Raw genomic sequence first — 15,970 nt, 5'->3', positions numbered from 1 at the left:
GTGGACTTGCCAGCATCCAGAACTGTGAGAAATGAGTTCCTTTATAAAATAAATTACCCAGTTTGTGGTATTCTGTTATAGTAACACAAAACAGACTAAGACACCTTTTCTGTGCTCCGGCCTGGGACACTCTTTCAAGGCAGAAAGATGGGCCAATTGCAGGGCTCACCTTATTTGTTTCCCATCCCTCAGGAATCACTGTCCTTTGTTTGATGTGGAGTGTTTTGAAAAACTGTTGTTTCTTATATTTTGTCCTGTGATTTGGTTGTTTTAGGTGGAAGAGTAAATTCAGTCCTTGTTACTTCATCTAAGTTGAAAGCAAAGTTTCAATACATGTATTTTGAATGTAAGAATAAATTTCTCTTTGGCATCTATCATGAAATTAAACCTTGAATTATGAATATATCTGATACTTAGGAAAAAAATTAACTTTTTTAGAGTGATGACCCTTTATCCACCAGTGGTGTGTGTGTGTGTGTGTGTCCATGTGCACACACACATGCACAAATTTTTTATCTACCGGTGGTGTAAATTTGTTATTGTACTAAAAACCTTCACTTCAGAACACTTTTAGAAATGTGTATTAGTGTTGTTTTATAGCAAGGAATCTTTGGATTGTTTTATGGCTAGGAAATGAACCAACCTGTAAATTGTGTAATTGTGTTTTTGTTAAATTAGTTTGCCCATCTACTCACTTTTATAATTGAAACCTGGCAAATTTTCTTAGTGTTTCCAAGTACTATATAGGAAGTTAAAATACTATGAATACTAGGTAAATATGAGTTGACCCACTTTATAGCTAAAAAGAGAAAACATTCTGAACTGAGATACACAGTGAGTAAGCAAAGGGAGTTGCTACTAATATTTTGTATTCTCCACTGTGGGCCAGGAAAACTGCCAAGCATTTTATATTATTTATTTACTCTTCATACTCTTCATAACAACTTTGTAAGTGGAGTTTATTGTCCCATTTTACAGATGAGAAAAATGAGACCCCCAAGAAGTTTATTACTTGCTTAAGAATATACAACAAGTGTCATAGCTAGGATTTGAACTCAGGTTTGTCTGCCTCCAAATTTCATGTTTTTTTTTTTCTCATGTTATAATTCTGTCATGGAGGTTAAGCCTACCATTCGAGTCATTACATTTAGTGGTGTTTTCGCAGGGAAAGAGTGAATAAGTCTGGCCAATTGGTGACATGTAAGACATGGACCAGTAAAATACAGTTTCGGTGGTTATTAATTAAAGGCCTATAGTCACTCATGAATAAAGAAATCACTAAAGCTTGTGTGCAGCATACTAAAGCTAATTTATCATAATCATAGGGTTTAGGTGATAACAAATGAAGTATAAAACCACTGGTTAGGAAGAAAAAAGTGATTGTATCTCCCTTATTTTCATCATAGTCAAGGTAATATTTCTTAACCTTACCCAAGCACTGAAACAGTCCAGAAATTCCTCCCTAAGTGAAGAGTATGAATAAGTCCATTGACTCAGTTACAACATCAATCAACTTTTATTGAGGGCCTACAATGTGCTTAGCACTCTTCCAGGTTTTGTGATGAGGTATGTATGTTTGAATCGATTAGAGAGTAATTCAATATGTGCTATAGATCAAAGGTTGAAAATATAGGTCTACCCATTGTATTTAGAAGGTAAATTAGTTGTATATTTCATATGAAAATTCCGATTTATTTCTTCTTTTAAGAAAAAAACCGGACTTTCCAGCTTATATTTAAAAAATTAAGAAGAGCTGGTAGCAATTGCTCTACCTTAGATAAGGGATGGGTTCTTGAATTTGTCACAATAACTACTATGTCCTATTGGTTCTTCTACAAGGAAGCTACGTATCAATTGTCATTGCAGTTGTCACTGTCGATTGTCAAGAATATTGCCTGACTAACTGCTGATGGCATTTGGTTTGTAGCCTCGTGCTGTAGACTTAGAGAAGGCATTATAGATGCTTTTGTGCATTTTGTTTAGCTCAGAGTTTCTTGAGAGTTAAGGGAGGAAGAAAAGAAATAAATGGATTTTAGAATGTAAGACTGACTTTGGAAGAGAATCTATAGTTGGATAATAAAACTGGATGTTGAAAGGGAAGTATTGATCAGAGGAGCATTTCAGGAAAGAAGTGTGTAGAAGAAGGAATGGGTAACAAGGTCATTAGAAGGAAAATTATCTTGGTAAAGATAGATGAAAGAAGAGAAATGGAAAGAAAAGGGAGAAAAAAGGGAAGAAAGAACAGGGAGAAAAAGGCAGGCAAGATTTTCTGTGGAAAGAACTGCATCCCTATGACAACAAAAGTGAGGAACGTCAAGAGTATAGTGGACACTTAACCAAGCAGAGTTTAGGTCTTGGTCAAATAGAGGCTCACACATTGTTTTTTTTAAAAAGCAAATTAGCTGTCATTTTATCATATAAAAGTCCAGATTTCTGTTTTAAGAAAAATCTGAATTACTAGCTTGTATATATATGTGTGTATATACATATATATATTTAGAGATAGGGTCTCACTCTGCCACCCAGGCTGGAGTGCAGTGGTGCAATAATAGCTCACTGTAACCTTGAACTCCTGGGTTCAAGTGATCCTTCCACCTCAGCTTCCCGAGCAGCTAGAACTACAGGTGTGTGCCACTATGCCTGGTTGCCTTTTTCTTTAGAGATGGGATCTCACTATGTTACCCAAGCTGGTCTCAAACTCTGGCCTCAAGCGATCCTCCTGCTTTAACCTCCCAAAGTGCTGGGATTACAGGTGTGAGTCACTGAGCCCAGCCTTCTAGCTTATTTTCTTTTTCATCAAGGCTGATTTATAGAGAATTCACTTCTGATTACTGAGGTTGTGGGATTCCCTCCTTATGTAATGGAATTATGATGAGAGAAACTATCAATAAATTAAGAAAATAGTAAAGGTGGAGCCAAATGTGATCTAGATTGTTCCACCTTAGGGGACATTTTGGGAAGAGTTTGTGCCAAGTCAAAGGGTGAAGTCACCAAGGACATAATTTGCATTTTATTTTAAAAAGTTAAATTATACCTTTTTTCTCAAGAAAGATCTAGTGCTGCAGAATTTTTGGTTGATCTTCTGACTTGGGTTAGTTCAGCATAAATAATAAATCATGTAGTTGCCATTCTTTGTTGCTTTGCTATATGATTTGCTGTAATTGGTTTGTGGTGGAGATTGTGGGTTGCCAGCTAATATCCATTCTCTCCTTTTTTCGTAGTAAAACAGAATCCTGATTTTATTCTGGGCTGCAGTGTGCCCAGCTAAAAGACTATACTACGTTTCACAGCTTTCCTTGCGAGGTGTAGCCAATGGGATGTAGGCAGAAGTGTTGAATGGGTTATCCAAAAAGATTGCTGTGTTACTTCATTTTCTGTATACTGGAAACTGGGTGATTTACAAAGAGAAGGAATTTATTTCTTACAGTTATAGAGGCTGAGAGGTCCAAGGTCAAGGGGCCACATCTGGCGAGGGTCTTCTTGCTGGTAGGGACTCTCTGAAGGGTCCTGAGGTGGCACATGGCATCACGTGGTGACAGAACTGAGCATGCTAGCTCAGGTTTTTCTTCCTGTTCTTATAAAGTCACCAGTCCCATTCCCATGATAATCCATTAATCCATTATCCCATTAATTCTTAAATCCACGAATAGATTAATCCACTAATGAGGGCAGACCTCCCATGACCCCGTCACCTCTTAAAGCCCTACCTCTCAGTACTGCCAACATTGGGGATTAAGTTTCAACATAAGTTTTGGAGGGGACAAAAAAATATTCAAACCATAGAAATTGTTTAAAGGAAGCTGACTCAGTTGGGATAAGCGCCTGTTTTGGTCTTCTTTCTTTCTTTTTTTTTTTTTTTTTGAGACGGAGTCTTCCTTTTTCTGCCAGGCTGGAGTGCAGTGGCACGATCTTGGCTCACTGCAAGCTCCACCTCCTGGGTTCACACCATTCTCCTGCATCAGCCTTCCAATTAGGTGGGACTACAGGCGCCTGCCACCACGCCAGCGAATTTTTTTGTATTTTTAGTAGAGACAGGGTTTCACCATGTTAGCCAGGATGGTCTCGATCTCCTGACCTCGTGATCTGCCCACCTCGGCCTCCCAAAGTGCTGGGATTACAGGCGTGAGCCACCGCACCCAGCCTGGTATTCTTTCTTATTCCTTCCGCTTCCTGGAATGCCAACACGATGCTGGAAGTCTGATAGCTGCCTTGGACCATGAAGTAACCGTGCTATATGGATGTGCTGCAGCTGGTGGGGCAGAATAATAGATGGAGTCTGGGGCTCTGGACTGCCTGTTTATGGACTTGCTATATATGAGAGAAGAAACCCCATGTGTTTAACCTCTTCTCTTTTGAATTTTCAGTTAAGTGAAGTTGAACCTAACCCTAGCCGAAAGAGCACTGTTGTCTGAATGCAACCGCAGGACACTGAGAAGCTGGATAAGCACTCTCTTAGTGCTCTGTGTTGGATTTGTGTATGGCTTGGATCACACTCCCTACCCTAACCTTGATTCCAGAGAGTTGGGCCAGCTCAGGGTGGGGTGTAGGAGGATACACTGTATACACTCTGACAGTATATGTGTCTCCTCAACATTCAGAGGCCACATGGCAGGGCAGATGTCCATTAACTATCTTGGGCTTATCACATCTCTTTAATAAACAACAGTGGGGACAGATAGTGCCCTACAGGCATATTACAGGGAAGACTTGATGAAATTTAGCATTGTTTATTGTCTGTCTTACAAACAATGCACTTAGATTTTTACCATGAAACTAGCAGTAGAGTCCCTGAAGCTCAAGTTTAAAAAGCCTCAAGTCAAACGATATATATATATATATTTGTAATTTTGTTATGTGTTGGAGAGTTGACATCAGCTGGCATATATGACTGTCCATACCAGCTGTTATATTATTAAAATAATTTCGGCCGGGCACGGTGGTTCATGCCTGTAATCCCAGCACTTTGGGAGGCCAAGGCGGGCAGATCACGAGGTCAGGAGATCGAGACTATCCTGGCTAACACGGTGAAACCCCGTCTCTACTAAAAATACAAAAAATTAGCTGGGCGTGGTGGCAGGTGCCTGTACTCCTAACTAATCAGGAGGCTGAGGCAGGAGAATGGTGTGAACCTGGGAGGCGGAGCTTGCAGTGAGCTGAGATCGCACCACTGCATTCCAGCCTGGGCAACAGAGCAAGACTCTGTCTAAAAAAAAATAATAAAATAATAATAATTTTATACTGATTGGGAAATAGCTATTGTTCAACCTCCCCAACACCAGGCTCCTCCCTTTGGGCCTTCTAGACCCCTACATGAACCAGCAAGTAAGAGGTGAATGCTTGACAGCAGGGATCTTCCTGGATTTAGTCACTACCCATTTGCAAAGTTAGGCATTTGAGCCTATGGTGTTGTTGACAAAAAGAGTCAAACTCTATAAAATATTTGAAGAGATTTAAACTGAGCCAAATATAAGTGGCCATGGCCCATGACTCAGCTTTCAGGAGATCCTGAGAACATGTGCCCAAAGTGGTCAGGGGTGCAGCCTGGTTTTATACATCTTAGGGACATGTGAGACATCAATGAAATACATTTAAGGTATATGTTGGATTGCTGTAGACTTAGAGAAGGAATTATAGATGCTTTTATGCATTTTGTTTAGCTCAGAGTTTCTTGAGAGTTAAGAGGGGAAGAAAAGAAATAAATGGATTTTAGAATGTAAGACTGACTTTGGAAGAGAATCTATAGTTGGATAATAAAACTAGGTGTTGAAAGGGAAGTATTGATCAGAGGAGGATCCAGAAAGGCAGGGCAACTCGAAGTGGAGGTGGGGTGTGGAATGGGGTGGGGCTTTTAAGTTATAGGTAGATTAAAAATTTTTTGGGTTGGCAACTGGTTGAAAAAGTTATTGTCAATAGAAAGGAATATCTGGGTTAAGATAAGAGGTTGTGGAGACTAAAGTTTTATCATGCAGATGAAGCTTCCAGGTAGCAGGCTTCAGAGAGAATAAATTGTAACTGTTTATCAGACTTAAGGTCCTGTTAATGTTAAATGCTGGTTGGCTTTTCCTGAATTCAAAAGGGAGGAGGACATAATGAGGCATGTCTGATCCCCTCTCCAGCCCCTGAATCATGGCCTGAACCAGTCTTTCAGATTAAATTTAGAGGACCCTGGCCTAGAGGAGGAAGTCTATTCACATAGTTGTGGGGCATTCACATTTTATTCCTGGATTATAGTGTCATTATCCCAGCAGTAAGTTACTGCCGTCCAATATTTATCCGTAGTTTGATTGAAACAGTATACAGGGGATATCGCTCCAGGCAGTTTATAGTTCACCCCTGGATCAAATCAGATCCACAGAGAAACTGAGAATGTGTATTGCATTTCAATTAGCCTCTGCTACCCCTTGTCACCCTGAGAACTGGTCTTGCTGAATTGTCATGCAATCAGCATGACAATGTGATGTCATCAGTCTGTGCTGTCAACAGCCTGGGCTGAGAGACAGGGAGGGAAACAGCACAAATGACACTCATTGTCATCTGTCTTTTAGGAATGTTGTCAAGGATGTGTTTTTTTTATATCATGGTTTCTATTTATGAGGATACTCAGAGAACTGCCTAACTGCTTTTCGATGTAAGAACAATTGTATTACTCCTGAGAAACTGTTCTCTTTTTAACTTTACAAATCTCTTTGTAAGTGTCTAGTTTTCCCTTCTCCTTGTTTTTGTAGGTAGACTTACATCTATTCTGGTATGAAGCAGAGAATAAATAAATAAATTAAGTTAAATTAAATGAATCATATCATATTTAAATGAAATTATGAAAAAACTCAAAGCCCATGATCAAAGAAACCTAAATACGTAAGCATTTCGCATTTTTTTCCTCAGTGGAATTTCAGTATTAACTTATCACAATTATACTAATTATGATACTCAATTTTAAAAGCTCTGGAATGAAAATAATAACTAACTGAAGAGAATATTCTCTTTAAATTCATATGTTCACAGACATATAAGCTCTTTTTTATTACCATATTTTTACAGATAAACACTTCAGCACAGTCAAGGCCTTGCACAATTAAATTTGGAAACTTTGCTTCAATTCTAAGGGAGGCACAGTATGAATGTTTTTGCAGGCTTTGTCCTAATTTTCCTTTGAATAAACACGGGGAGAGTCTGTTCTCCATAATTTTCATAAACATGTAATCTGGACATACCCAAGTACTATGTCTTCTGGGATTTTCTTTCCATTTTCTCCTTCTGTTGATAAATGGATTCCACCAGGCACGGTGGCTCTTGCCTGTAATCCCAGCACTTTGGGATGCCAAGGCAGGAGGATTGCTTGAGCCCAGGAGTTTGAGACCAGCCTGGGCAACAAAGTGAGACTTGTGATTCCCAATAAGTAAAAACATTAGCCAGATGTGGTGAATCACATGCCTGTAGTCCCACCTACTCAGGAGGCTGAGGCAGGAGGATTGTTTGAGCCCAAGAGGAGCTGTGATTATGCTACTGCACTCCAGCCTGGCAACACAGCAAGACCCTGTCTCAAACAAAAAAGAAAAGAAAACAAACGGATTCAAATCTCGTCCCATGTAACTCTGGAATGTCCTGTTCGCTCTCTAAGATTATCAAAGATTCCCAAGAGGGTTGCATTCTCCTGGTTATCTCCTACTGATAGCAGCAGGAGACAGCCAAATTCCTAGGCAGACAGGGGCAGGTCCTTGGTGAAACCTGATGTTCAAGGCAAAGACAGCTTAGAGCCTGAAAACTGGGCTGCCAGTTCCAGGTTGGGTCCTCAACCCGAAGTGAGAACTTTCTTGATACTATTTAGCTAATTGAATGGTGCTTTTTCCAGGCCAGTCCGTGGACCACTCAGCACACACTCCCCTATTCTGAGCCCATAAAAACCCCAGACTCAGCGACATGTCGGAACTACCTGCCTTTGGGTAGGGGCTACCCACTTAAGGTCCCCTCTGGTGTTAGCAGCTGTTTTGTCACTCAATAAAACTCTTCTCCACCTTGCTCACGCTCTGGTTGTCCACATAACCTCATTCCTCTTGGACACAGGACATGAACCTGGAGCCTGCCCGGATGCGAAAGGAGCTGTAACACTGAATCCCTCTCACCCTATGCCAGTGCTGGATGGCTGTCCCATGTGATGGGAAGTGGTGGTGGGGCCAGGCCAGCCCAGGAGCCATCATGGGCCAGAGTGGGGCAGCAGGACCAAACAAGCTATAACACAAATAAGCTGAAACATGTTCCTGGCTGGCCTGCCAAGCTGCCAGCAGTGACATGTTCCCATTCGCCAGACTACAAGACAAGAGAGCTGTGACCCTTCTGGGGACCCAGACCTCGGGACTCCCTGAGTCAGAGCTGTGACATGCTGTAACACCCCCTTGGGGCTCTGTGGTTGCTGGTGTCTCTGAGTTTTTGGGCACCACTGCATTCCCCCTGTCCAGATGCTGCTGCCTGGCCCAGCTACAGCCCCTCACAAAACTCACGCCTGTGCTGGTGCCTGGAGCTGCCCACCCCACTGCAGCAGCTGGCACACCTGGCTGTGCATCATGGCTGGACCCTACACTTGCTCACTCACACACCCCTTGCCATTCTGTGCCTGGCTTGTCCACAGTGGGCATGGGATCTGGGCCAGTAGCGCAAGCTCAGTACAGCCTGCCAGGCCGAGTGGGTGGAGCCAGCTCAGCAGTCAAAAGTGAAACTCAGGCAGAGGCACCACTGGCCACAGAGGTTACCGAAAGAATCGTGTGTCACTACTGTTAGCGGTGCCTAATTTATACAGGTCTGCAGCAACTTCAGTTCTTGCCTTCTAAGAAGAGAGAATTCAACTGAGGTGGGTCATAAGGCAGAGTCAGAGACTGAGGCAAGTTTTAAGCAGGAATGAAAGTTTATTAAAAAGTTTTAAGTAGGAATGAGAGGAAGTAAAGTACACTTGGAAGAGGGCCAAGCAGGTGATGTGAGAGAGTCAAGTGCCCAGTTTGACCTTTGACTTACAGTTTTGTATGTTCCAGCATCTTCTGTCCCTTCTCACCTGATTCTTCCTTTGAAGTGGGCTGTCTGCATGCACAGTGGCCTGCTAGCACATGGGAGGGACCACAGGCACAGTGAGTTTACTGGAGTTGTATGCATGCTCAGGTGAGGCATTCTTCCCTTACCAGTTGAGTGTTCCTAGAGGAAGGTCATATACCAGTTAAACTCTGCCATTTTGGCTCTTAACGCACATGCTTGAGACCACTCACCCAATTCCTGAGATCTTATCGGAAAGCTGCTGATCACCAGTTTCAGTTTTTTCCATCTATTGGGAGACTGCCTTTCTCTGGTGCCGGCTGCGACCCATTAGTATTTTGGAGAGACAGTTAACTACCTGACTATCACCTGATGGTTGCCTAATGTTAGTAGGGGGGCATCTCTCCTACCCTGCTCATGTCTGCCTGACTACCTAATGTAACACTACTTTAAATTATTATTCTGGTTGATTTCTTAGCCCCAAAGATGAATCATCCCTCCTCCTTTCTTATTTCCCAAAACATTACTAACACAGGGTTATTTTGTGTAGTACTTTTTAAAAAATTAGAGATAACCTAAGAGGCCACAGCACTGCACAAAATGGGGATCACCTTAAAGTTCAGTGTTAGGCAGCATTGCCCCTGGCTATTTCCATCATAAGTAAACAGCCTTCTTTCTCCAGAGCCCCCTCCTGCTGGCTTGTTGCTGGCCCCTCCTCTTCTTCTTGTTTATTGTACAACAAAACCGCACAGGCAAAGCTTAAAATTTGCTGGTACTTTAACTTGCAGAGAAATTTAACTGCTTCCCTCAACCTCCTGCCCATATCAGAATAGAGGCCTTTGTATGCTAGAGTTTCCAATACCAAATAATGGCAACAATAATAAATAGTGACAACATTTTACATTATATATTACTTTAAGTTATAGCAAAGCAAATTTTGAGTAGGGCTCTCTCCCCACCAGCAAGATTCTTGGGATCTTATCGTTTGTGGGGAGGAATCTGGAAACTGTATTATAATAGACACCCTTTTATCTGATATTATTGAATTGTTAGTAGGGTAACTATTAACAATTAATTGAAAAGTCAGTTAATACAAAGATTCATAAAATGATATGTTTTATATTTTATTAAAATGTGTAACCTGTTCATCTTTTGATGTTGGGCTGAGTTTTCTTTTGATTACTTAGTAATTAGAGTTCTAGTGTTTCTTTTTTATGAATTCTAGCTATAATATATTTGATACAGTGTCTTGTTTTTATTTAAAATAAAATGAGAACTTAATATTTTAAAGCAATCATTGCAAAATCCACTTAGATTTTTACGATTATTTTTCACCAATATTTATATTTATCTAATATCTTATTTGACCACAGTCCTCTTTAGCAATTTGCTTTTAGTTTTTCCAAAGTAGTCAATTTATGTGTCCTAGAAGTGACAACCATCTTTTTTTTCATTCATTTAATCAGTTTCATTATCTTTTAATATGCAGTTACAATCGGATGTAAAATTAGCATTAACATCTTTGGGGCTGGGCGCGGTGGCTCACGCCTGTAATCCCAGCACTTTGGGAGGCCGAGGCAGGCGGATCACTTGAGATCAGGAGTTCGAGACCAGCCTGCCCAACACGGTGAAACCCTGTTTTACTAAAAATACAAAAATTAGCTAGGCGTGGTGGCAGGCATCTGTAATCCCAGCTACTGAGGAGGTTGAGACAGGAGAATCGCTTGAACCCAGGAGGCGGAGACTGCAGTGAGCTGAGATTGTGCCATTGCACTCCAGCCTGGGTGACAAGACCAACATTCTGTCTCAAAAAAAAAAAAAAAAAATCTTTGGGAGCAGACACGATGGACTCCTGGTAAGTGTGTATTTCATGGTGACATAAGGGCCAAATGAGGCAGCAGCACGTGGGGCAGGTGATGTTCTACAGAAGGAATGGAGGATGTTGATTAGTTTAGACAGCTGGTTAGTGGAGGTGCTTTATGACAGCTTCTCTGAGAGCAGATTAATATTAGTAATCAGAGGCCCAGGGCCAGCTCTGCCTACCAGGTATATGATTTCAGGAATGTAACATCACTTCTCTGAAACTCAGTTTCATCTGTAATTTGTGAAAAAAATAACATTTGCTAAACCTACCTGCCAGGAAGATCAAATGAAATAATGTACATGAAAGCCTTTTTTTGAAATAGCAAAATACTGTTAAAAAATAGGTGTTTTTGCTACTTTAGGTTTTATTTTATTTACAACATTTGATAAGCTGTAGGGACATACTTCCTTGGAGTCTCTCCTATCTTTTCCTTTATTTATGATGACTGGTATTCCAGATTTTCAGCTTAACTGGAGTGGTATGTGATGTAGAAAGGCTATTGGAGCTTTATTGTCTTGAACATGAGTTACCTTTTCTCAAATGATAAGTAACAGCCTTTCCAGATTCTAGTTTCAGAAATAAATTGGGTTCCAATTATATATACGTTGAAACATGATGGTTGACCTGGCAACATAATGGCCCCCAAACAGAAGTATTCATTTTCCCCAAAACTGTACATAAATTTCAGCTTCTGACACTTAAGACCTCTGATGGTGTTATTCAAACATACAATCATTTTGGCTAAAAGTCTTCATAGTGCTTATATGTAGATATATAATTTTATATAGTGAATGTAAACAATGCACATGTTATGATATTAATTTTACAGAAAAGGAAGCTGAGGCTGAGAGGGATTAAGAATCTTATTGAGGCTCATAAGCGTAGTAGCAAGTAGTTGGACTGAGACACGAATCTAGGGCTTCTGATGCTAAATGTCATAATGACTACAACTGAAACTCTCTAGATAGCAGAGATTGAATAAATATACCTGAATGAGTCACAGAGCTGGAGCAAATAGTAGATACACTGGATGTCTGACAAGTCAAGATGTATAGGAATAATTTCATTTTTAAAAGTATATTGATTGCATTTAAAAATAATATAGTCCTTAAGATTTTCTACAATCTACAGAAAACTTTTCAGGTGAAGTACCTCAGAGTTTAAAGCAAAGGTCTAATTTTTTATTCTGAAAAACTACAATAAATATACTACTTATGTATCCAGACCTATTGGACACTGTGATATCAAGGTTAGTTAGAAAATGCCAGTAAAAATCTCAACATTTTCTCATGAGACTTGATTGTTGTATTTATGCTTTATATTAGGATCGTGTGATATAAATGAAATACTTAGTATTGTAAGAAGGATTTAATCCTTGTATTTATAACATTAAACAGAGTAGAATTCTATTACAACAAAACTATTATGAATGTTTGCATAGGCCAAAAGTATAATCATGGTAGGTCATTAAAAGTTTGATGACAATGAACGCTGATAGTATCTTTAAAGAGAAGAGATGGTGATTGGCCTAAGAGGGCAAGCTAAACATCTTCACCATAAAGCTATCTCTAATAATGTCAGAAAAGATATATTTTTGGAAGGAATAAATTCAGTGCTGGACAACTGCCATCAGTAAATGAGACATTTCTGTCCTCTTGAAGAAGAACACAGGTGAAGATCAATCAGTGGAGAAAACCGCATTCCTAAACACTGACACCACTGGATTATTGAAGATCATGGTGTAATAGCTTCAAAATTCTGAAGGAAGATGATTGTGAATCTAAAATTCTATATCCAGGCAAACTAATATATAAGAAGAAAGGCAAAATAAAGGCATTTTCAAAATATGCAACAACTCAGAAAGTTTACTTCCACAGACAACTCCAGGAAAATAAAATATAAATTCAAGGAAAATGAAGATATGGGATAAAGGAAATATAGGTATATAAAGAAATCAGTAAAAATTGTGGTTGTATCTAAATCATATTGTTTTGTAATGAGTGCCAACCGAAATAACAGCCAGAGAGAGGCTCTCTAAAGTAAAATGATATTTATCTGGGAAGGAACATTGCAAGGGAATTCACATACCATAGTAAAGTGTGTGCATATTCAGGGAGGTAAAGGAAGACAAAGGTTTTTAATGGAAAAATGAGAAGGATTACATAATCGTTTTGAGTTAAATTGTTTTGAGATCTTTGGCTACAAAAATTAGTTACAAGGGTGGCACCAGTCAGAGGTTGGAGAGGCAGTTGCTGGGCAGATGCCCTTTCAAAAGCATTTTTGTGTGTGTGTGTGTACGGTTGTGATGGCTGTTGTGTAAGGGTGTGGTTTTTGCAGTCTTTTATGATAGTTCTTATTATCAGGCATTTGCATATGAGACCCCCGCTGCCCCTGCTTCATGGCTTCCCCTGGCTCTATTTGTCAAGGTTTTTAATATGAGTGACTCCATTTTGATTCTGACAACTTTCATATAAGGGTGAAATACTTTACTGGTACTTTACTTTACTGGTAATTTCTAGAAGAATAGAAATATGTATTTTCTAACCCACAAAAGGCATGAAGAGGAAAAAAGAGCAACCATAAACCATAGTAAATTAAAAATATTAAATTAAAGAAGTTAAAAGTTTACAATTGCCAGTAACCACAAAAAATGTACATGTGTTACATATTTTGTATTAAAAGGCAACCTTTGGTTTAGGTTAAAACTGTCTCAGAACTTCACCTTACTGCTGTTTATAAGACATGCTAAAGTGAAATAACAGCAAGAATGAAAGAGGGATTGAAAAATTTGTGCCAAGCAACTACTATTGTAAAGGAGGGTATAACAATATTATTATCAGAAAAAATGAATTCAAGGAAAATCACATTAAATAGAACAAAGAAGAATAATTCATATAGATCAAAGTCATGCTACCCCAAGAATATGAGTTATAACCTTTTTTGTTCCTAGCAACTCAGCAGAGTTGTTACACATAAACAAAACGGGGAGAAATAAAGGAATTTGTAATTACCATGGGGTATAATAACGCCTGTTTCAGAAATGGACAGATACAGTAATCAAAAATTAACATACAGATTTAAAAAATAATACAATGACCATGTTTGTTCCAATAGGCATATATAAAACTTTGTACCCAATGCAAAACATACCAGTTGTTTTCAAACAACCATGACAAAATCATTTTATAAAGGGAAACAAAATTTAAAATATAGAAATTATATAGAACATAGTCTCTCACCAGAATTTAGTAAATTATTTATTAATTTAAAAAGGTAGCTACAGAGAAGCTGGGGGTGGTGGCTCACACCTATAATCCCAGCACTTTGGGAGGCTGAGGTGGTGGGATCACTTGAGGTCAGGAGTTCAAGACCAGCTTGGCAACATGGTGAAACCCCATCTCTACTAAAAATACAAAAATTAACCAGGCATGGTGGTGCATGCCTGTGATCCTAGCTACTTGGGAGGCTGAGGCAGAAGAATTGCTTGAACCTGGGAGGTGGAAGTTGCAGTGAGCTGAGATCACACTACTACACTCCAGCCTGGGTGACAGAGGAAGACTGTCAAAAAAAAAAAAAAAAAAAAAAGTAACTACAGGAAAATATTTACTTGGAAAATTTAAAATTTAAAATTTTAAAAAATATTCCATCTGAAGAAAGGAACCTGGCCAAATTGTTTTATAGTCAAGTTTTTCAAACATCAAGGATTCTTCATTATGGAAAATGTTTCAAAGCATCGTAAAAGATGGAAAGCTTTTCAGCTTATTAAATAATGCTAAACGCAAATATGATAAAGAAATGTGAGTATATCAACTTCTAAGTAATTATTAGATTAAATGGCAAGTCAAAATTGAAATAATAAACCATATTAAGAATTCAGTTTTAAAATGAAAGGAGTGCGTATCAAAACTTAGGGGATGCAGCCAAAGCAGCATTAGGGGAAAATTTGTAGGATTACATGTACTTATGAGAAAACATGAAAAATAAATGGATTGTATTTTCAATTCAAAAACTAGAAAAAGAACAAGGTAAACCCAAAGAATGTGGAAAAAATAAAATAATAAAAGCAAACATTAAAGTTATGAAAAAAAGAGTAATGATCAATATAATTTGTTGATAAGTTAAAAAAGCAAATTTTGTTCTTTTAAAATACTGTTGAAATAGACAAACTTTTGGCAATTGTGATCAGGAAAAAAGAGAAGGCTTGTAAATATAACCTTGATAATAAGAAAGGGACATACTTATAGATACAAATGACTTTTTAAAAATTATAATTCTTTATAGGAATAAATTTAAAAATCTAAATGCAAAGGATGATTTTCTATAAACTCCTGTAATTAATTTACAAGGTAGAAGGTAGAAAAATATTCTTTCCTAAAAAAGGCACCTGGCCCAAATAGGTTTACAGTCACATTTACCAAACACTAAGGACTGTACATCAAATAAAATGTTCTAAAGCACAGAAAAAGATGGAAAGCTTTCTAAAGTATTTAATAGTGCTAAAAGCAAATATGACAAAAAAATAATTTACAATAGCATCAGAATAACAAATACTTAGGAATAAATTTAGCAGAATAATTGTAAAACTCATAAAACTGTAAAACATTCTTGAAAGTAAATAAATGGATCAAATAAATAAATGGAAATGCATCTCATGTTCAGGGATTAGAAGACTTACTATTGTTAAGATGGCAGTGTTGCCAAAATTGAACTACAGGTTCATCACAATCCCTATCAAAATCCCAGTTAGCTTCTTTGCAGAACTGACAAGCTGATTCTAAAATTTATATGGAAATGTAAGAGACCCAGAGTAGCCAAAAGAAGAGCAAAGTTGTTGTATTCACACTTCCTGATTTCAAAACTTACTACAAAGCTATGTTAGTCAAGAATGTGGTACTGAAATAAGGATACACATCTAGGTCAATGGAATAGAATGGAGGGTCCAGAAGTAAACCCTTATATTACTTTTGACAAGAATGACAAGAGGACTCAATAGGGGAAACAACAGTCTTTTCAACCAGTGGTGCCCAGTTGGAAATTAACATGCAAGAGAATGAAGTTGAACCACTATCTCACACCATATGCAAAAAATAA

At 38.6% G+C, this 15,970-nt stretch overlaps 1 long non-coding RNA gene across 1 annotated transcript in view, besides 1 other annotated feature; it reads left to right on the top strand.

Moving 5' to 3' along the window:
- EIF1B-AS1 (EIF1B antisense RNA 1) overlaps positions 1-15,970 on the top strand; it is a 136,554-nt gene that overhangs the window by 10,410 nt on the left and 110,174 nt on the right. The window lies entirely within an intron of this gene.
- Positions 7,943-8,489: an enhancer, noted in NCBI's record as "H3K27ac-H3K4me1 hESC enhancer chr3:40332291-40332837 (GRCh37/hg19 assembly coordinates)". NCBI's record gives its function as "activates a minimal SCP1, AML or CMV promoter by ChIP-STARR-seq in naive H9 embryonic stem cells {active_cell/tissue: H9 hESC(naive)}" and the evidence as "EXISTENCE:reporter gene assay evidence [ECO:0000049][PMID:30033119]".

The sequence above is a fragment of the Homo sapiens genome, chromosome 3 (genome assembly GCF_000001405.40).
Source record: "Homo sapiens chromosome 3, GRCh38.p14 Primary Assembly".
In the NCBI taxonomy this organism is placed as follows: domain Eukaryota; kingdom Metazoa; phylum Chordata; class Mammalia; order Primates; family Hominidae; genus Homo; species Homo sapiens.
Note: the sequence above shows the minus strand (reverse complement) of the source record. Positions and strands in the feature narration are given on the sequence as shown.